The following is a 22168-nucleotide window of genomic DNA, read 5'->3' as shown; positions in this document are numbered from 1 at the left end:
TGGACTGGTGGGATAAGGGTAGTCATGACTGAAGTAGGCAAACCTGGAATCATAAGGGTCAGAGAATAAATTAAAGACCACAGGGGAAGAGGGGAGTTTATGAACTTGTCAAGAAACACCACTAAGTAGTTGGCTGAGGAGGAAATGTTAAGGTTTTCTGAGTAATAGAATGGAAAACACTACTGGTGTTTGTGCCAGTTAAACATGAAAAGCTAGCATCCTTGAGAGGACTGAATAAATCTATTGTTCTCTCCACAGATGGTTAAAATAAGTCTCACTTTTCCTTGGTCAGGAAAGAGTCTTCAGTTAGGTCCAGTCAAGGTGTTAATACTGAGGGGAAAAGAGTCACTCAAAGTCCACCGTACTTGAACAGCTTCAGCTGGTTCTATGAGTGGCTATGAAACACAGCATTCAGTTTCTATGTCTCCTGCACAAGAGCCTGAGTAAGTAGATCATTCTCCTTTTACAGAAGTAATGCAGGGTGTCTGGATCTGGATTTGAGGCTATTTTAAGGGGTCCATTAACCTGTAGGCAACAAGCAGCCCAAAATACTCTGAGAGAGAATGGCACAGACAGAATTCTGCTGTGGCGACTGGGGCACTCTGCCAGCCATGCACAGGAGGTTCCTGATGGGAGTTGACTATCCATGACTCTTCCAAAGAGATATCAATTTAATTTTATAAAAAGACACTAAAGGTACAAAGGTGACTAAGACACTGTCCCTGCCTTCCCAAGCAGTGTTAACATTTTGGATATTTGGATGAGCTTGGTGTAAAGAGGAAAGGCTGTGTTTAAATCTGTACTGGCTGATGCTGCCTGAGCTTTACCAGGGCCTGAAGGAGGCTCTGCTAGGAATGGCAATTAACAGTCTGGGCACATGGGCACATGCTAGGAGCCAATGCATGCAAATGAAAAACAAACAAACCTGAAGGTGGGATGGGGAGAAGGAGGTACAGCGGGGAGGGACTGGGAGCGGATCAAACAGCTAACCCACCCATCCGATGAATTCTTCTCTGCTCTCATTTCCAAACTGCACAGGGTTGGCTAAGCGTGCTCCTCACTTGTTAATCTCCTTTTTGCATCCCTGTTTTTGTGGCTGTCAGAGCTCCATATTATGCAAATTGGGCTTAAGCAATTAAGGCAATAATGTTTCCCTTGAAGAGTTTGACAAGGTGGTGGGAGCTTGGGATGAATTTTGCAGACAGGAGCTTGGATGCTTATTTACCTACAAATAGAAGAGAACAAGAAAGGGGAAAACACTGCAGCATCAAGCTTACCTGAGCTTGGGCTGCTATTTTCTCTTGCTTTTTGTTTGGTTGCTTCATAGGAGAACAAAGGGTCACTCCATGGCATTAGTGGGTGGTAAATTTAGAACAAATGAACACTTTTCACAAGATGTAGCTTTAACCTGTTGAAGTCACAGCTGCAGAGATCACTGAACCAAGCTCGCTGGCAGGGTTTTAAACGGAACTGGGTGATTTTATGACAAAGAATATTTGAAGCCCCTGGGGGCTATGTGTCTCCTGTTTGGGGTCATGAGCTGATTGTCTCGAAGCTAGAGAGAAGCAAGTCTGGCAAGCTAGACTTTGTCTTTGATAAACTGAATTGCACAGTAAATGAGAATGTCACAACTACCTGACTCTGAAAAATCCACTGTTATTAGGAAAACAGATAGGATGTATCAGACTCTTAATTGGGAATGGCACATTCCACATTTCTATACTTAGGGAACAATATCCAGATGATACCATCCTCAACCTAAGCATGTGGCTGGACAACCACCTCTTATAGCTTGCCAGTTATTATTCCTCCTCTCCCTGTAGTGTGGTTGAAGCTTCCTGAAATCTCAGAGTAACCACAGAAAATGGTGCCCTCTCTTCTGCTAGCATTTCGTATGAACTGTTCAACCTCTTATTAGTTGATCAACAAGTTGTTAGGAAATTCCTGCTATACATGTAGCTGTGTGTGTGTGTGTGTGTGTGTGTGTGTGTGTGTAAAGTAAGACTGAAAAACAGTAAAACTGTAAGGTACCTTTCTCCCCATTTTTTGATTATTCTATTACCATAGCCTTCATTCCCAGCTCCTTCTACATTCATTTCCAGTTTACCTCACCTGCAAATATGTATCATTTGTCAAGCATTTTTAAGTTTCTGTCTTCCTAAAATATAAGATCTGCCACCCAATATAAACATCTATAGATTCACCTTTCCTTATTTTTCTAAATTTATCCATGTATAGTCAATGGTTGCCACAACCACCTTCTCCCTTTCATAAACTTATCAATGAACCTAATTCTGACCCCTCTCCCCTGAAATTTTTTATAAATCCTACAATTAAATATTATTTGCTTAATCTAATAATAGAGTCCTTCTTCTAATCTCACTCTACTTGACTGCTCTCTAACATTTCATACTGTTCATCTTCTGGAAATTCTGTCTTGTCTTCATTCTACTTCTCGCCTACACATTTGCCTGATAATGGCTGTCTCACTCATTTATTTGCTCACTCATTTATTTATCCTAGCAGACTAGGTGCTAAGACTAGTGCTTACACTTCTACTCTGTGCTAAGAACTGAGATATGTTCTGGGACCACAAAATTGAATAAGACACAGTCCCACTCTTAGACACTTTTCTTCAGCGGGGATAAAATAAAAGCAAATGAACTAACATAATATTGTGGCTAAGTATAATACTAGTGTAAAAGAGGTAAGATTGAAGGTAGGAAGAAAGAACACCTAATTGTTGGGATTGAATATCAGGAAAGGCATCCTGGAAGGAATGTTAACTGAACTGAGTTTTAAAGTTTTAAGAAATAATTAACCATGTATTTCTTAACAGTAGGTGTTGACTAAGCTTTCCTACTCAGTCTTCTTCCCGCCCAGCTCCAAACTTCCTTATAGCTTTTATCCTAAAAAAAAAAAAATCACAAGCAAACATCTCAACCCTAATTTTTCTACTGAGTTCTGATTTTCTATTTTTATTTATTTTATTTCATTTTATTTTTGAGACAAGGTCTTGCTCTGTCACACAGGCTATAGTGCAGTGACACAATCATGGCTCACTGCAGCCTGGACCTCCCAGGCTCAAGTGATTCTCCTGCCATAGCCTCCTGAGTAGGTAGAATGACAGGCATGCACCATCATGCCCAGCTAATTTTTTAAAAACAACTATTTGCAGAGATGGGGTCTTCCTGTGTTGCCCAGGCTGGTTTTGAACTCCGGAGCTCAAGTGACCCTCCTGCCTCAGGCTCCCAAAGTGCTGGGATTACAGGCATGAGCCGCTGCGCCCAGTCCAGTTCTGATTTTCTTTTTTTTTCTGAGACGGAGTCTTGCTCTGTCGCCCAGGCTGAAGTGCAGTGGCGCCATCCAGGCTCACTATAAGCTGCGCCTCCCGAGTTCACGTCATTCTCCTGCCTCAGCCTCCAGAGTAGCAGGGACTACAGCTGCCCGCTACGAAGCCCGGCTAATTTTTTGTATTTTTTTAGTAGAGACGGGGTTTCACTGTGTTAGCCGGGATGGTCTCGATCTCCTGGCCTCGTGATCCGCCAGCCTCGGCCTCCCACAGTGCTGGGATTACAGGCGTGAGCCACCGTGCCCAGCTCAGTTCTGATTTTCTAATAGAAATTTCCTTCTCTAAATAGCAAAACTAAGCATCACTCCCACCCAGAAATCTTTTTTGTTGGAGTACTCAATCTCAGTTCATAATAAACTCTTTCATCACTCACTAACACTTGAAACTGTGGAGGCATTTTGAGGTTCTCATTCTTCTCCCTTAACCTACATAACACATTAGTCACCGACCACTGGAGATTCTTATCTCCCAAAGGAACATCAAGTCTATTTTCCCCTTTTTATCCCTGTAAACTGTGGTCTTCACCATTTCTCACTATGAACAGTAGCAACTTCCCATCTGATTTCCTACAGAAATGCTCACAAAAGAAAGTTCATGCATTTTTAGCATATCATTCTGCCCTTATCTTTTGAACGTCATCTTTCCTCATTTTTTTATTCCAACTTTGCACATTATTCACCACGAATGGCTCTTGCTTTCCTGAATAAGATATATCTGTATCTCCATGCCATTTCTCATAGTGTTTCTCTTTGTGCAGTAACCTACCTGCCTTTCTTTGACTGGTGAAATTGGATTTATCCTTTATGTTCCAGCTTAAATGTCATATATATTTATATCTATATATCAATATCTATATAAACAATACTATACATCCTATTATAATAAAGTTGTCCATAAATGTGTTTGCCCACTACTGAACTGTATATATCATTGGAAGCAAGGATCGGATCTCATACCAGTGCTCAGTAGATGCCCAGAAAAGACATCTGTAAAATAAAAATACGGATCCCTGACTGTCAGTTTCCCAGTGTTCTTCCGCAGAACCAGAGATTCTCATTATTAAGAATAATTTGAAATAGATGGCTTGATACTGAAATAGAAGAATTAAGATTATAATGACAAGAAAATAGAGCAATTCAAAATGACTGAGAAGAAATCTGCTGCCCTGCCTAGAAAGTGAAATAAGAAAGACATTGAAGAGTTGGCACAGTGCTTTAAGCAATTTTTAACTTAATATGCTGAGTCTGTAGAGTTGTAACTTATCCGATCTAGCTGAGTAAGGTGAGTTTGTATACTTCAAACTAGTTTGTAAACCATGATTGCCTGCACTATAGTTTAAAAAAAAAGATGATGTTGTCTGCATCTTGAAGCAGCTGGCTCCATCTGAGTTTTGGAGGTGAGACGTTTGGAAGGAGAAGTGACAAGGACAAAGTTATAAATTTCAGACCTATAGTCTGCACTCATGCAGTTCTTGTCTCTCTCCTAAACTTATTCTGGAAAGAGAGGACAGAGAAAGGTTACAACAGGGAGTGGGTGACAGAACCTAGACAAAGTGAGTGAGAGAGAGAGAGAGTGTGTGTGTGTGTGTGTGTGTGTGTGTGTGTGTCCGAGTGGGATACTTTTGTTTTAGGCCTCACCAGGGGACCCCCATTTTATCAGAGACTGCTGATACAAAGTACTTGTTATTTGGAAGAGAATCACTGAATGGCTTCTAGTCTGCCCTTTCATTTAATGGACCTTTTGGGAGGTGCAGACAGTTTGGGCTCAAGATGAAGAGAATAACGAATGAGAGACATAGCAATGAAAAACCCAGTTAATGGATGCTCTCAGGAGTTGTTCTGCAGAAGCAGGCATAAAGGAGTGGGAGCCCAAGAAGGATGTGAGATCCTGAATGAAGGAGTGCCTGGTGGGAGGGTAACCCAAAGGAAAGGGCCCCAGAAAGTACAATGAATGAAATAATGGGGAGCAAAGTGAGACTGATACACTTCAGCACTTTAAAATTTTACCCATAACAGGAACTAGCTTTATATTTTGACTACACGTGATAAGGCAGGTCTCTAGGAGGAAAAAATTTCTGCTACTTTTTTTAATCTAAATTATTTCTCTGACCTCTTTTTCCCTACAGTTTTCATATAAAATTGAAGTTTTATCCTGGCAATGAATAGCTCAAATAAAAATCCCTGAATAATGAACATTATAGCTTAGATAGTATATCGGGGAGAAATAAAATCAATACTATTACTAGTTATGATCTACTTGAGATAGGATTCTCAAATGTTTCTACCCACTGGTCAATTCGCATGACATGAGTGAGTTTAGTAGAATTCTCATCAATTGTTGTCAAAAAATATATATTGATAGTTGGACACTGTATTAGGTTCTGTGAATAAAGAGATGAATAAAATAATTAATCTTATCATCAAATATTTACAGAAGACTTAGAGCCAGGAATTATTCTAGTTGCTATAATGAAATGAAGCCTAACATCACTCTAAATGAGGATTAAAATCTGTCCCCTTGAGTACTTACTAGTAATCTTAGTCAAAATTATATCAGAATTTAGCTAAAGACCTCCGCATATAAAAATTTAGCTGAATATTCCTGAAAGTCCTCGGATGATCAATGAGAAGATGAGGTGAAGGGCACTGACCCTTATGGCTCAGTCTCTATGCAAAAAAAGTGTTTACATTTCTGAAACGTGGACTTTGCACTAACTATCAAACAATTACTAGCTCATTGATTTATAGTGACCAATAAATAGTATTCTATTTTCATTTTTAGGGCAATGAATCTCATCACTTAATACATATAAACATCGCTAAGTATGCTTATTTTAAAAATAGATTCTTGGATCCAACACACCAAAGATTCTAATTTAGTCAATCTAGGGTAGGGACTAGGAACAATCTAATATTGTTAGTAAGAACCTGGGTGATTCCAACATAATCGATCTATGAAAAAATCTTTGCAAAACACTGCTTTATGAAGAGACTTTTCCTTTAAATGTTTTTTTTTTTTCATTTTTTTTTCTAAAAGACTTTTATCCTAGAACAGTTTTTTAAAAATATATTCATTTACTTTTGGGCTTCCATCTTTACCAAAACTGACTAAGTATGTGCTATTTCAACTTTCCTTCTGTCAATTTATTTTGCTTCTTGTTCATAGTTTAGACAATATTAGTTGTGGTACATTACAAACTGATGTTGGTTTATTGTCATACCAATTTAGGAGAAATTTAGAAACTGTTTAGGTGAGATAGTTGAATTGTATATATTGGCTGTTTAATTATATTTGTGGTATATTAATACTGATATGAGAAAATTTATTTAATCAGAAATATTAAAATTGCTTTTAATAATAGAAAGCCTGAAAAAAAGATGGTTGTATTGGTGAAGACACACTCAGGAAACAGGAGTCAGAAATCACTCAGTTTTAAAATAAAGAACATTCAATTCAAATATTTGTAACACAGAAGTGATGAAATTTTGAAAAGCCAATTAGAGGGCAGTGAGTAACCCAGTGACTAGCATCAACTGGAGAGACAAAGGAGGGGAATTGGGGTTACTGGAGTCAAGGGATTGATCTCTAGAGGAAATATAGCCATCTCCAAAGACTATGACCAAGGCAGAGGAAAAGGGAGATCAATACAGTGCCTACTCCCTGCCCTCATACTCTAGTTTTCTGTTAGCACATCTCTCTGAATGAACCCAGTTGGCAGGGGATCCTGGGAAATACAGCCTGTACCAGTCTGCTGCACAGTGATTCAGAAAAGAAGGGAAAGAATGAAGAATAACTTTTAGAATAATAGGTCAAGGACCAGCATGGAAGTGTATATTCTCCCAAATCTAGTTTAATGATTTCCCCAAATCTACTTTGTTTTTTCAAATCTACTTTAATGTCAAGACCTATGATTGTCTCTGATCATCTTAATAAGCCCCTCTTTGTATCATACCAAACCTCAATCTCGATCAATGATTTAGCTGAGCATTAGGCAGGAATTGGGAAGGATAGGAGGCGTAGTGGGCTATTTAGGAATCCCCCGGCCGGGTACGGAGGCTCACGCCTGTAATCCCAACACTTTGGGAGGCCGAGGTGGGCGGATCACGACGTCAAGAGATGGAGACCATCCTGGCTAACACGGTGAAACCCCGTCTCTACTAAAAAACACGAAAAAATTAGCTGGGCGTGGTGGCGGGCTCCTGCAGTCCCAGCTACTCGGGAGGCTGAGGCAGGAGAATGGCGTGAACCCGGGAGGCGGAGCTTGCGGTGAGCTGAGATCATGCCAATGTACTCCAGCCTGGGCGACAGAGCGAGACTCTGACTCAAACAAACAAACAAACAAACAAACAAACAAACAAAAAACAATTCCCCACATCAGTACTGCAGTTTGATTCTTTGGGATCCACGGGAGAAATTGAAAAGGATTATGGCTTTTTTCGGTTTGTGTCTTCCGCTGCCTATATTGCTCCTCGACCCTTCTCTGCATTTCTATCTGAGGTCTCCCATGGGAGCCATGAGCATTTGTCCATCTTCAGCTTCCTATATACTAGTTTACATGGAAAAATCTGGCATTCATCTTCTAATGGCCATCACCCCTTACCTCTCTCACCTTTGCCACCTCCTCCTAATGTGATGTGCTTTTAACCCTGATTTCTCTCCTATAGGAGTCGGATTGCGTTAACTGGTAAGCTTTAGAATGGTCAGTTCCAATTGCACCCTGACTGCAACTGGCTTTCCGTTTTCTGTCTGAAACTCATCATGACTTAGCAAACACTGTGCACAACTAAAGAAGTGGATGTGTGACTGAACTAGGGTCAGCAAAGGGATGATGACTGTAGAGCTGGTGATGATGTGGTGTTTAATTCATAAAAAGCACTGGACTTATTATTTTGTTGTTTTAGCTGGTGTTTTCATGTTTAACTTTCCTGGCATTGTAGTCTTCATTTCACTGTAATGTTTTATTTAGTTACATAGTATGGGTGGAAGGGTGGGAAATACTAGATGTATTTTCCTACATTTTGGTGGCCAGGATTTCTGGTCTTCTCCAGCTTCTGTTTTTAATATGAATTTGAGCTTGTTTCAATACCAAAATGAAGCATGTGTTGCAAAACGAGATCAGTCATTGTCTAGCACAATGTCTGGCTTACTGCAAGCGTTGTTTTTTTTGTTTGTTTGTAAATATACTTTTTTTGTTGTTGTTGCTGTTTTTACAAGGCTCACCAAGTCTTTCAGATGGGGAGCATTTCATTTACCTTTGAAAAATCTTTACATGACAAGACAAATGGTATCCTGCTTTTCAAAAACAAATGCTTTTTTGAACTTCTCTACCAGGAATTAATGATTCCAAGGCTTGTCAGTCATGTCTATTATGACAAATAACTCCATAGATGGGAACTTTGAAGAAGATCCTGCCTGAATGAGCTCAAGTCCTCCAGTTTCCCTAACACCAGAGGAGAAGTTGGACAATCAGGCATTGATTTACCTTTTTGTATGATAAAAGACGCCTTACTATCCCTGTTTAACCTTGAACAAATCAAATAATTGCAAGCATAGCAGTCTCATTTATAAAATGTAAATTTGTAAAACCTTTAACTCATGATTTTAGGGAGGACATAGTAAGTTTATGTATATGAATGTGCTTTATAAATAATAAAGCATTAGAAAAGTAAAGAATAATAACATCGCCCTCATCCTCATTTGTAATTGTACAGGAAACTATTCATCTACCGTGGAGTTGTTCTATTACAGTGCAGTTGTTGGCAAAGCACTATAAAATTGTCTAATTAAGTGGTGGTTGAAGCACCTCTGGTACCAATGTAATCCAATTACATTTACCAGGTAGAGGAAATTAGAGTGGAAATTTAGTCTTTGTCATGAATAGCTCCCTGATCATTAGCCAGGCTTTCAGAGCTGAAAAGGTCCTTAGATATCATCTATTCCAATAACCTAATTGCTTCAAAAGAAAAACCACTGGAAACATGGAGTAGCACAGCACTAACCATTGACAAGGTTGTAACAGAAATGATTTGGAGTAGGGCAGAAACTTGACCATTTTTCTATCTTTGCTGACTCATCACCTAATACTTTTCTTTAATTTTCCATCTTTCCAGGTGTCACTTATTAATAATGTTTTCATATGCCTTCACATCTTCCAACTTATTCTCTCTAATCTCATTCCCACCAGTGTATTGGGAGATACAGGGAAAATGAGTGAGACTGAAAGAGGCAAAGACTCAGGCAGAGAGAAGAAAAACGAAAGAGACAAAGGTTTACTAAAGAAGACAGAGAAATTGAGAGAGTAATGGAATGCCAATATTGGTGAGGATGGCTGGGCAGGGAAGCAAGTGATTAAAGAATAAGAAGTAGATGGAGCTCTAGGATTTAGAACTGGTGTCTGGCATTTCCTCATACATCTGCTCTTGTTCCATTTCCTTCCAATTCTTATGTTTACTCCTGCATCATCACTGCAGCAAGAGGTGCTTCTCAAGCTACCTCTCACTGATCGGAACAATCAGAAAGCCCTTGTCTAAGCCCTTGTTTGGCTCATGAATTGTTGTATTAATATCCAATACAATGACATCTGTTCCCATGAATTTAACAATCATGAAGCCACAGAAGTCACACAAATGTTTTAGTTACAAGAATAATACATTGCTGTAATAGAATATTTTAAATGATTATTAGGTTAGGTTATGTTTGTTATCTCTTTTTTTTCCCTCAGTAATTCAGAAATTCAGACAGATATTTGTGTTCCTAGTATGCAGATGGAGAAGCTAAGGCCTGTGGCTACTAAGTAATTTACTGGAGATCACACTTCAAGTTAGTCATGTTTATCTAAGTGATGAAAGAGTTAAATCTGATGCTTGGATATGGATGAAAAGAATTCAGAGATATGATTTGTACATTTTTAACATTTATTATTCACTAATCAAAAAAAAACTATTATAATTTAGAAAATCTTGCTTTAGAAGCCCCATTAGGTTCCTGAAATAAGTCATTGGCTAATTGCAGGAATACCATGCAGGAATGTTGAGAAAATGGAATGGCACAAAAACCTGATTCAAGACAGAAGAGCTAAACCCGGAAACTAGATGGGCCAAGGAAATTACTTCCATTTCCTAAACCAAGCTGCTGAATTGTCCTGGGATTCAGTGAAGCTGGCTGGGATCCAAAAGTTGACTGGAATCCTCAGCCCTAAACTGTCTCATGCCCTGAAAGGTTCTTAACCTTCCTGGGCTGCAGAGTCATTTGGGAATCCCCTCAAAAATGTGCAGTCCTAAAAACTCACACAATATCATTCAGTATCTGGCATTCACGGGCTTCCTAAAACCCACCTGTAGATCCCTTAGGGTGATGTCTCAATGTTTGCCCCTTGGACCACTTCATCAGTATCTCTTATGTTGCGTTCTTATTAAAATGCAGATTCCTGACCCTCACCCCAAGCCAATCAAAACAGTTTCTGTGTATGGAGGATAGACATTTGCATTCGTTTTGTTTGTTTGTTTGTTTGTTTTGAGACAGAGTCTTGCACTATTGCCCAGGCTGAAGTGCAGTGGCGCAATCTTGGCTCACTGCAAGCTCCACCTCCTGGGTTCAGGCCATTCTCCTGCCTCAGCCTCCCGAGTAGCTGGGACTACAGGCACGAGTCACCACGCCGGGCTAATTTTTTGTACTTTTAGTAGCAATACAGCTAATTTTTACACAAACTACAGTGTGACAACCAATGTTTTAAGTATCCACTGAGCCTGGCATAAAACCATGAGTCTTAGAAAACTAAATTTGACACAGCCTCACAAATTCAACTATTTTGTTCCACCCTTAAATAAGGTTTCAGAGTAGCACATGTTGAAGCTGGAATAGACGTGAACTCTAGGAAGACCAGTGGTTCTTTGTTCTTGTGTTTTTCTCCACCAAAGATGCCCAAGATGGGAGGGCATCTGACTTACCAAGGCCTCAGAAGGCATCTAAGGGTAATTCTCCATTGTCTAGCACCAACTGAAAGAGGATTCTAGGTGGCTAAGAAGGCTTGTTAACAAAATGTTATGATCCCATTTATTCCAAAATTACATATATAATAATAGAAAATATTACCTTCCTTGTAGCTTTCCACTGTCTATGATGCATACACTTTTTACTGTATCCCACTGGTTTGGAAATATGAAGCCAGTGTTGTAAAAAAGTGAATAGGCCAGTCCTGTTTATTCCCATTAAAATGCAGATACACACTGTTTGTTTATCTCCCTCTGGGAACAAGCTGGGAAACTGTTAGTGTTGGGGAAAATAATAATAAAAAAAAAAAGTCTTAAGTGTTGACTCCACATTTTCAGGGCTTCGTAAGTCCTTCTGAGTGTAGCACTCTATCACTTTTCTCAGCAGGGTATAATTACTCATAACTTGAAGGTTTTATCTCTGGGCTGCGTCTAATAAAAAGGGGGGAAAGGAAGGTAAATCTATCACTCACTGCAAGTATAGATGCTTAATTACATATCACATATAATTGTTTCAGTTTCTTGCGTGACAAGTGCACCATCCAGGAATTTGGAATGGAGGTGGGGAGATCATCCAGCAGACTTAAAAAGATTTTAGCTGTGGAGATTTCTTAATGCATGTGTGTGTGTGTGTGTGTGTGTGTGTGTGTGTGTGTGTGTCTACTACTGGACCTGAGGCTCATAGTGGTGTCTGGTTTTTGGTTCTGTTATTTAAAAAACTTATTTTTTACATTGAAAGGTAAAATTGTACATATTTACCATATACAACATGATGTTTTGATGTATATATGCATTGTGGAATCACTAAGTCTAGGTGTCTGGTTTTTGAATCTCTCGTGCTTGTTAAAAACAGGAAATTTGCTCAGTATTTTTAAACTACAAAATGATTGTTTCATCTTTCTGTACAACTTATTTGTGTTCCCACTCTTGTACAGGCCAATGTCTCTTTTACTTGTCATTTACATGTGATGAATCTGATATCACCCCATGACAAAAAGTACAAAAGGAAAATTGGGGTTCTGCAATTATTAAAAAGGGGGATCATGACTCCTTTTGTAATGATATAGGCCACTTAAAAACTTACACCAAAATGCATTGTAGGACCTTCTCTAATCGTTTCTTCTACCCTGAATCCAAGCAGCTTTGGAAGTTTGCAGGCAATGTGTTCACAGGGCTGAGTTTCTGGGATTGTCCATCTCTGTTGAAGGCCTTCCCTAGAACTGAGGTGGTTTTGCTTTTCGAGGTCTGAGAAATAAATGGGCTTTTTCTGTAGATGTGTGACATTGCCCAGACACAGTATTTTCTGAATGTCATCCAGACCCAGAGGAAGCCTTGATTCGTAGCACTTGCCAATTTCCTTGGTGTAAATATTCCCACTACAGCCAGTTGAGAGGCTCTGCTGTATCTATGCAGGGTTTCTTTGTGATCTGCAAAAATGCCAACACCACTCTCTTCTCAAAAATATTTCTATTGCACTTCCTTATACCAGGAAAATTATTTATCTAGACCACCACTTAGGTCTCTCTGCCTTACTTCATTCAGGCTTCCACTGAAATGTCCCCTCCTCAGAGTGGCCTTCAATGACCATATATTAATCTTTATCCACTTTTTGTTCATAGTACTTACCATGAACTGAAACTATATGTTTACTTGTTTATTATCTGTTTATTATTCCCTCACTAGAATAGAAGCTTATGAATTAGTTGGTCTTTATTATCGTGTTTCCAGCACCTAGAATAAAGTTGACTTGTAGTAGTTGCTCAGAAGTAATTGTTGCATTAATGAATAAAATGCATGACTGATCAATACTGATGAGATGAAGACTGCAAAGACTTTTAACAGTTCTGGAAGATTTTTAATCAATGGTCAATCTCACTGTGCTTTTCCCATTCCTCATTCATCTTTCTATCGTAGTTTCTGCTGAGTATATGTGAGCTTTGTGTTAGACTGGGAGCCTCTTAGAGAAAGACATCATTTCTTAATTACTTTTGAATTCCCCCATTCCCGCAATATAGTAGAAGCTCAAGAAATACATGTTAAGTGAGCAAATAAACGCATCACTTTGTTTTGTTATTCTTATCCCGTTTCCCAGGAGTGATTCATAATATATCATTAGGTTACAATAAAAGAAGCTTGTGTGAATCTAGCAGGGCCAGCAAGAACTTGAGAGCAAATAAACAGACTGCATTTTACCCCACAAACAGGCTAAAGGGAGACTAGAAAGTCAAGAGGATGGAGTCAGTTTTGGCAGCTGCCAATGAAAAGCAGCAAAGTCCCTGGGATTTTAGGCCAAGAAAGAAGCCCTGAGGCTTCACAGATTAATGGCTCCCAAGGGGCTTCTGTCAGGAAACATGCAGATACCAGGCATTCATAAATATGTTGTAGGGTATCAAATTAGACCTTTAATCAATAGAGCTGCATATGATCTCAAAGTTAACTGTTCCTGGGGGGTCTCCCTGGAAAAGCATGGGTCTGACAGGAGGCCCTTTAGAGGCCATGGCTTTTGTACATCTGCTTTTCCTTATACATAGCACGATCACTAAGTGAGGCAAAGAACTCCCACTAACAAGTGGTCTGGATGGGGAGGGCATTTAAGGTCATATAGATATGATATTTGACACCAGTAAGGAGCACCAATGAACTTTGAAAGGGCCTGTTGTTTTTATGTGTTGGAATGATTTGCATAGAAAAACGTGTACAAAATACTGCATGTTCTCACTAATAAATGGGAGCTAAATGATGAAAACACACGGACACACAGAGGGGAACAAAACATCCTGGGGCCTATTGGAGGATGGAGGGTGGGAGGAGAGAGGGGATCAGGAAAAATAACTAATGGGTACTAGGCTTAATACCTGGGTGATGAAATAATCTGTACAACAAACCCCCATGACACAAGTTTGCCTATGTAACAAACCTGCACATGTACCCCTGAACATAAAATAAAAGTGAAAAAAATGTGTACAAAGGGAAGATTATCCCTTCTGTAACTATATAAAATAAATCAGAATGTGATATACCTTTGGTATGGGTATTGTAAAGAAGCTATGTGCTGGGAAAAGAAAGATGCTGTGTGAGTCAAAGGGAAGTTTCATAACTCAGTACCTTACTGTGTAATATCTATGAAGGAAGAGGTTTTTGTCAAGTGGAAAAGGAATAGGAAGAATATAAAACTTTCATGTTTGCTGGGTTCTTGATGCTTTGAAAAAATGCACTGCTGACATTTTGAGGTAATAGAAAGATCACTGTAATTGAGAAAGAAGAGTGGAAAGTAGAAACCAGGCAAACAAGGAATAAAAGGCTGCATTTTTTTTCTTTTCTTTTTCTCTGGTTCTTTGAGATAGCTAGTATTGAAAAGCAGTTTAAAATTCAGGAAATCTAATACCATCTTCATTTTTCATCATCTTTCTGGGCTAGGTTTACCATCTGTAATTTGCTCAAAGATACCCACATGGATATTGGCAGTTAGAGCTTAAATTTATGGTATCTTTGGTTTCCCCTTGAGCCAGTCCACTTTTTCATTACACATCACTAGGATATTCTGCTAAACTAATGTGGCATCACCTACACCACCTGTGCACCATGTGCAATATGAAAAGCGTGCAAAATAGGCCAAGAAGCTGACATAGAGCTGAAGGATAAAGGGGTTGAAAACATTTAATTTAGAAGAACTATGAAGATCAGAGACATCAGGATAAGAGCATAATACATTCTTTGTTGTGTTTTTTATTGTCTCAGTGAATATGAGCATTACTACATACACATCACCACCCCTCCCACCACCTGGTTGCCCCTCCTTCAACCTACCACCATTAGAAATAGTCTTATGCATAGCAAGGCCTTTCTTCTATGCTGACCCAGCTATGTTCAAAGCCACAGACTTGAATATACTGATTCAAGTATAATATCCAGTTGATGCAAGCCCTGCTGGTCAAATGATTTTCTAGGACAGAGGGAAGGAGTAAAAGTAAAATACCAAGGAAGAGAAGCCACAAGTAGAAATGTTAATTTAGGTCTTCTGCAAGTAAAGAGAAAGATTATATCGTGTGAGAAGCAAGAGTGTGGAGAAATGGATTGCAGTCTTATAATTTTATTGGATTAATTGTGAGTCCTTGAAGCTTGGTTTTCTCTGTATAACATGAGGGAATTTGTCAGGATGTCCTAATGGTGCCAGTGTGATGTAATTAATTCTATTCAAGAAATTATCCTTATCTTGATTAGGTAAACAGAACTTGATTAATTCTACTCTGATTAACCACTGCCTCTCAAAATGTCCTAGAGGCTTCTACCAATTCTACACAGGAATTCACCATTTTCTCCCAGCAGAAACTAAAAATGTACCCTGTATCACTCAAGATAGAGATCAAGCCAAGATCCAAATGCTCTAAAACATAAAACACTTCTACAGATGGTTGTGGTTTGCCTTGCAAGAGGAGATGGCATTGGTCGGGACAAGATGATGGAGGAAAAGAGGGAGGGGTAGGTATAAAGAAGAGTTTCCTTTAAAACATCAAAAAGACTTTATACATCTTTTCTGCCCTTTCATGAAGACTTCATCTGGCAGCCAGATTGCCTTAATGGTCTGCCTAAAAAGGGCCACCCTGGCCTGACATAGCCAGACACACAATCTCCAGCTTTGCTTCACTTCTTTGATGCTGTCACATGTCCTTCATTTTCCACATTTCATTCATTCTTTGCCTTTAAGCTACAAAGATAAAAGTACCTAGCATTAAAAAAATCAGCTTACATTTTTTTAAAGGGGTAGACATTTCATGCAGCCTTTGATTTCCTTCCAGGAGAAAATCATTACTTTTCTTTAAAGGAGAAACTAAAGAGGTCTTTTTTTTTTTTTTTGCTTCTTTTTCCTCCTTCCCGCCTTTTACCCCAACTCCTCCATTTTCAGCAGTAAGTAATAGCACTGGGTGTGGAGCAGGAAACAGCTAGATAAATAATTTTCTCCTGGAAATCTTTCATGCCACTACAGTGAATTTAAAAAGCCTGAACATTAATTTACTGTTGAAGAATGACAATTAGAATGTTTCAAAGCACTGCACTATATTCAACATCTGTTGAATATGTTAAGATAACTGTATTTAATACTAGGTGGCTTGAAGGAGAAAAGGTAACCAATAGAGTATAATGAGTGTAGCCTGCAAAATCTATGAGGAAGATACATAAGGGACATCTTGTACATGAAGGAGAGTATAAATGAAAACTGAGTAAAAACCTTATAGTATAAAGAAAACCCAGTATGATAGAATCCCTGTGTGTGTGGAAGAATACAAATAATAAAATGAGGTCATAGGGATACACTCTAACCTGTCTCTTCAAAACAGTGAGCCTGATCTTAAAATATGAAGCAACCCAGAGCATCTGTAAAAGAAGAGCAAGTATCAATATTCAGGGTTAAGAGCTGGCCACATATGAAGTGTATGAATACCCACATTGGGGAAAAAAGACATGATAAGATTTTCAGATGAGGTAAGTAACTAACTACATTCTACAGTAGGTGTTTAGAACTCAAATGAAAAGAATATGTCTGGAGATGATCCTTATATTTAAACAAAAACTGATGCTGGAGGTATGTGTAAATGTGTAAAAAATAAAATCACAAAATTCTGGAGGGAGAAGGGAAAAATGAAGAAATCTATCACCCAGCTATTAATCTCCAGGAAAGGAAACTGTGCCAAAATGTGAGAACTGAAAAAAAAAAAAAAAGAAAGAAAGAAAGAAAGAAAAAATCTGCAGTTAAACCACAAGAAATCTGGAAACATTTAGAAGACTTCATTAGAAATTCAATATATATGTATTCTGAGAATCAAACAGATCATGGAATGGTGAAAGGAAAACAAAACTGTGAATATCCAGTGAAGTCAAAGAATCTGTTGTTGGAAAGAGAAAAATAAAATCTTTGAGAAAGAGAAAAACAAAGAAAAGGAACTAGGAAAAATCAACCAGCAAGATTCAGCACCAAGCAAGCAGAATTCTAGAAGGCCCCTAAATATAGCAGGATCCCATAAAAGGCACTAAAAATATATATCATACTAAAAATGTCTTTCAATCAGTTAACTGAGTCTGTTAGCAAGCAATCGTATCTGAAGCTCAAGTGTGCCTGCAGGTACCTGCAACACAATCTTCAAACCCTCCTGCTAAAAATTAAACTCTATTGCACCAAATTTTATATTTTTAAAGATACCCCCAAATCCCAGTTACCCCAGGTCAAAATGTCTGAGTTATTTTTGACTCCCTTATTCTTCCTCATTTCTATACCTCACTCAGTTACCTGGTCATATAGATTCCGTCTTGAAATGACAGTGAACTTCTGTACTTACCTCCAAGATTCAGTGTAATATAATGACTAAGAATAAAGATAGTAGAGTCAACTGCCAGGATTTATACCCTTGTCTTTCCACTTAGTAAGAGCTATCAAGTTACTTAACCTCTGTGTGCCTCTCTTTTCTCATCTGTAAACTGGAAATAATGGTAGTAAAATCCATCATTGGGTTGTGGTAAAGTTAAATTAGTTGATACATGCAAAGTTTGATACATTTAGCTATAACGATGATGATAAGGAAGCTGATGATGAAGATATGATGATGATAAAAATGATTTCAGAGCCTTCTAATCCTTCATGTGACCTGGTCTTTTAATGAGTCTCCCAGATTCTACTTTCTGTTCTCTCGAGTTCAACTTTCGTATCTGTACTAAAGTTGACATCGTACAGCACATATGATGATGTTTTTTCCTCCTGTTCAAAAGCCTTATTGCTTATAGAATTGCTCCTGTATCCATTCACATGATATTTAATGTCCTCCATCATTAGGAATCAATCAACCCAGTATCTACAACTTTTCCTCTGCTCATTTGCCTATTTTTCTCTCTACTCTGATGTGTCCTACTGGTTCTTCCTCAAAATGTGTCCTAATTTTGATATCACTTTATTTTTCTTCTTGCTATTTTTATTATCAGGGATGCTTTTAAATGTAATCTTTGCCTCTTAGAAACCTTTATAGGTGTTCTAATCAGAAATGGTGACTATTCACTAAAATATAAAGATGACCCCTATATTAATACTAAATGGGCAACTGTCATTTATTTGAATAACAGTATGCCAGAAACTCTATCTTATTAGGTAAATACTACCATTATCATCATTTTAGAAATAAGGAAACTTATGCTCTAAAATGTAAAGTAACTTGTTCAAAATAACCCAACCCAAAAGTTGAGACTGATGTACATACCCATTTCTATCTACTTCAAGGGCCCATATGCTCTAACTAACCCATAACACTGCCCTAATACCTGTGTATGTGTTTATTTCTTACCTGATACACTATCCTCTATTCCCACAAGTTAAAAACCTTTTCAAGGTCATTGTCTTACTTGTACATATCTTTCAACACTTTATGCTGTGCCTTCCATGCAATAAGCATGCAATCATGATGAATTTAATTGAATTTCTCTGGTACTTACAAAAGTGTGCATAGCCATGCTGGAGGTGTGGGATGCAACCATGTCTTGTTTCCTCAGTTTTAAATCTAGGGTGTTTCCTTAAAAAGGAGATCATCTATCAGTTTAGTTTTATCCCCATCACTTCAATCATTCTGTCTCTAGAGGTCACATATGGATAATTCTCTGCTTCAATGTGTATCAAAACTAATAGCCTGCATATGCCTAAAGTCAAAATCTATCAATAAGGCCAAATTTGAAAACTCAAAGGAGATACTGATCAAAGGAATATTTATTACATGTTATGCAGGTGTAAACAGAGACCAGCAATTAGACCTAAGCTTCAACTCCACCCCATGTTCTTTGTTTACAGATATCTCTCAGCAAATCTACAATAGTCATTGTGATGGCAAAATTTGGACTTTTATCTGTGTATTACCAATATATAGCACAAAGGTTACTATAAAATAAAAACTCAAGAAATATATCTATTATGAGAATGTACAAAAATATACATTACCAGGATCAACTCTCTCCTAAAATTCAGATTCTGTAGGTCTGTTATGGGAATCAGACATCTCTACCAAAAAAACAAGCAAGCAACAACAATATCAAAAAAACAGGTGATTCTTTATTGCCTTTTCTCCATTCTGTTTAGAAATATTAGGAAAGATTTTCTCTAGACAGTCTTCTTATCTTCTTTAACCTTTCATCTACCCCTTCTTCACCCACATGTAAACACCTACCCTGAAAAAATTGAGTCCCATCTTTGGGCATCTCCATAGCATCTTGTCATAGCACTCATGATGCTCTAATTGCTTGTTTTAATTGGCAGACTTCTAGATTAGGCTCTAAGTTTCATGAGTGCTAGACTATTTCTATTTTGTTCACCATCTTGTATATATATTTCTATATATATATAAGTTCAATATATATTTAATTTAAAAATCCAATGTTTTTATAAAGAAATAAATGAGGTAACTAATTTCTAAAATATGGTATCTATTTTACTGTAGAAAATGTATTTTCTGAAAAGAACCTTAGGAATAACTGAAATAGTTCTTCATAGCATTATTATTTGGCTGCATCATTTGCTACAGAGGTGTCATGAATGCTCTTGGAATCTACCAGTACCTACCAAGTTATTTCCATGGGAGAATGATTTCTAGTCCTTTTAATTTAAAAGAACTTTTCAAACATAACACATTTGGAGACTATCTGCACAGATCAGGCTAGCAATTCCCATTGACACTGAAACACAACATGTTCTATGCATTTTAAATAAAACTTGTGTCTTTTTGTCTTTAAGTTTTCTTCCATGACTGTTCTACAATAATGGTTCCTAAATGCAATCATTGGATAGACTGAAACACAGTTACCTGGGTGATCTTTATCAAAATATAGATTCTTGATTCCCACGAAAGAGATTTTCATTCAACAAGTCTGTGATGGGATCTGTAAATCTAAATTCTTAAATCTCATTGTAAGGAAATCAGATGCGTAGACATCTGATTGGAAAATCAGTCTTGGGTCACAGTGGCAATGAAGATGGGAGTGTGGTATCTGAATGATAATGGCTGTCTATCTTAGGATATTGTGATGAATAATAACAATAATTTGTCTGAAAGTGCTTTGTGAAAATAAGGGGACATATAAAGGCTAAGTATTTAGGAATGTTTTAACGCTTTTACTTTGCATAAGTTATATTGATGTCATCATTATGCAACACTTGCAAGGGTTTCTGATACTGTGAATGATGTGCCTCCTTAGGAAATAGGTTCATTTTGGATGTCCTAAGTCATTATAGACATAAACTTCCTGTGTAGATTTGGAAGTAAGTATTTTTAAAATAATTGTGTCAGTTCAAAACTTCATCATCAATCTTGTACTTGGGGCTGACAACTGAGGAATTATGTGTTGAATTATGACTTTTCAGTTTGGACTGTAAATCTGCCCTTTGTTACTATGTTAGTGTAACTCTAGAGAAGGAAGGATCAAAGAAGCTTAAACATAATGACTCAACTAAAGGTGTTTGAATTGTTTGGCAGTGTTGTGATTTTTACAACTAAGTTATACCTGGATGAAGTATGAATTTTTCAAATTTGTCATTTGAAAAAATGATTGACCAAATGAGCAAACATCTCCAGATCTGACTCCAAGATGTTTGTTATAATGCTATTATAAGGATGTTATATGTACTTAAAACAAATACTACTTCTTTGGCCAAGCACAATTCCTACATACAGGGCAAAACTAATGGTTAAAAGAGTCACTTGGAGTACAAAACACTATGAAAATTATCTTGGACTGTTCTTGGCCAACTTTCAGCAGCACTCATATGCTGCTGTTATTTCAGCAGCTCTCTCAATATTCTACAAATCATATTCATGGAATCACCTAACCCATGTTAAGGATACAACCATCTTTGTGGTAAAAAGTGACAGCTGTTTAACACAGCACCGGCCTGCAAAACATTACATTGAGGTTATTATTATCTCCTCAAAACTTTAGAAAAATTTTGTAGTAATAGCCATCATAATGGCTATATTTTGTATTATGCTGGTTGCTTTGCCCTACTTATAAACTAGAGATGTAATTCAGTAAAGAAAGCATAACTTTTGTATGTAACAAAATAATTAGCCTATAAAACTATTGGTCATCAAATACAGGCATATTTCACATTTTCTCTTATTCCTCTACTTCCTCAACCTTGAAAAAGAGCAATTTATTACATCATAAGAAGAATTGTGTGACCTTTTTCTATTAGCCAATAGTCGTTTCAAATCACACCACCTATGTTCTTCACTCTCCCAGAAATCTTCCCTATGGAACAGCTCTTTTCCTCACCGTAACAGGTATTTAACTAGTTTAATATCATTTATAATGCTCTAGCTTTTAACAGAAAAATGATAAAAAAAAAAAAATCTGGGATAAAAAAATCCAAATCTTCCTAACTCCACATTCAGGTAATGAACTCTCATTGCATCTTGTATTTTGTGTGTCTTTCCTTTATAGTTATAATTATATGTTCATTTGAGCAGTTATTTGAATAATGTCCATTGCCTCAGTTGAACTCTAAGTTCCATGAGAGCAGAGACTGTATTCATGTAATGCACGGATATACCCCCAAGACAAAGCATAGCACCTGACATATATTCATTGTACATATTACCTCTGCCATTCTGGAGACTAAGTATATGAGTATAATCTCAAAAACATTTGTAATTTGAAAAAATGATTGAACGAAAATGAGCAAACATCTCCAGATCTGAGTCCAAGCTGTTTGTCATAATGCTATTATAAATATGTTATAAGTACTTAGAACAAATACTACTTCTTTGGCCAAGCACAAACATTCCATTTAACAACAACAACAAAA

At 37.6% G+C, this 22168-nt stretch overlaps 1 protein-coding gene across 4 annotated transcripts in view, besides 1 other annotated feature; it reads left to right on the top strand.

Moving 5' to 3' along the window:
• The window catches only part of LSAMP (limbic system associated membrane protein), a 643114-nt gene that overhangs the window by 243399 nt on the left and 377547 nt on the right, over window positions 1-22168 (top strand). The gene's annotated exons all lie outside the window — the stretch shown is intronic.
• Window positions 3420-3920: an enhancer, noted in NCBI's record as "H3K4me1 hESC enhancer chr3:115917016-115917516 (GRCh37/hg19 assembly coordinates)". NCBI's record gives its function as "activates a minimal SCP1, AML or CMV promoter by ChIP-STARR-seq in primed H9 embryonic stem cells {active_cell/tissue: H9 hESC(primed)}" and the evidence as "EXISTENCE:reporter gene assay evidence [ECO:0000049][PMID:30033119]".

Source organism: Homo sapiens, chromosome 3, assembly GCF_000001405.40.
Source record: "Homo sapiens chromosome 3, GRCh38.p14 Primary Assembly".
NCBI classification, from domain to species: domain Eukaryota; kingdom Metazoa; phylum Chordata; class Mammalia; order Primates; family Hominidae; genus Homo; species Homo sapiens.
The sequence above is the reverse complement of the archived record's forward strand: the minus strand, read 5'-3'. Positions and strand labels throughout refer to the sequence as shown.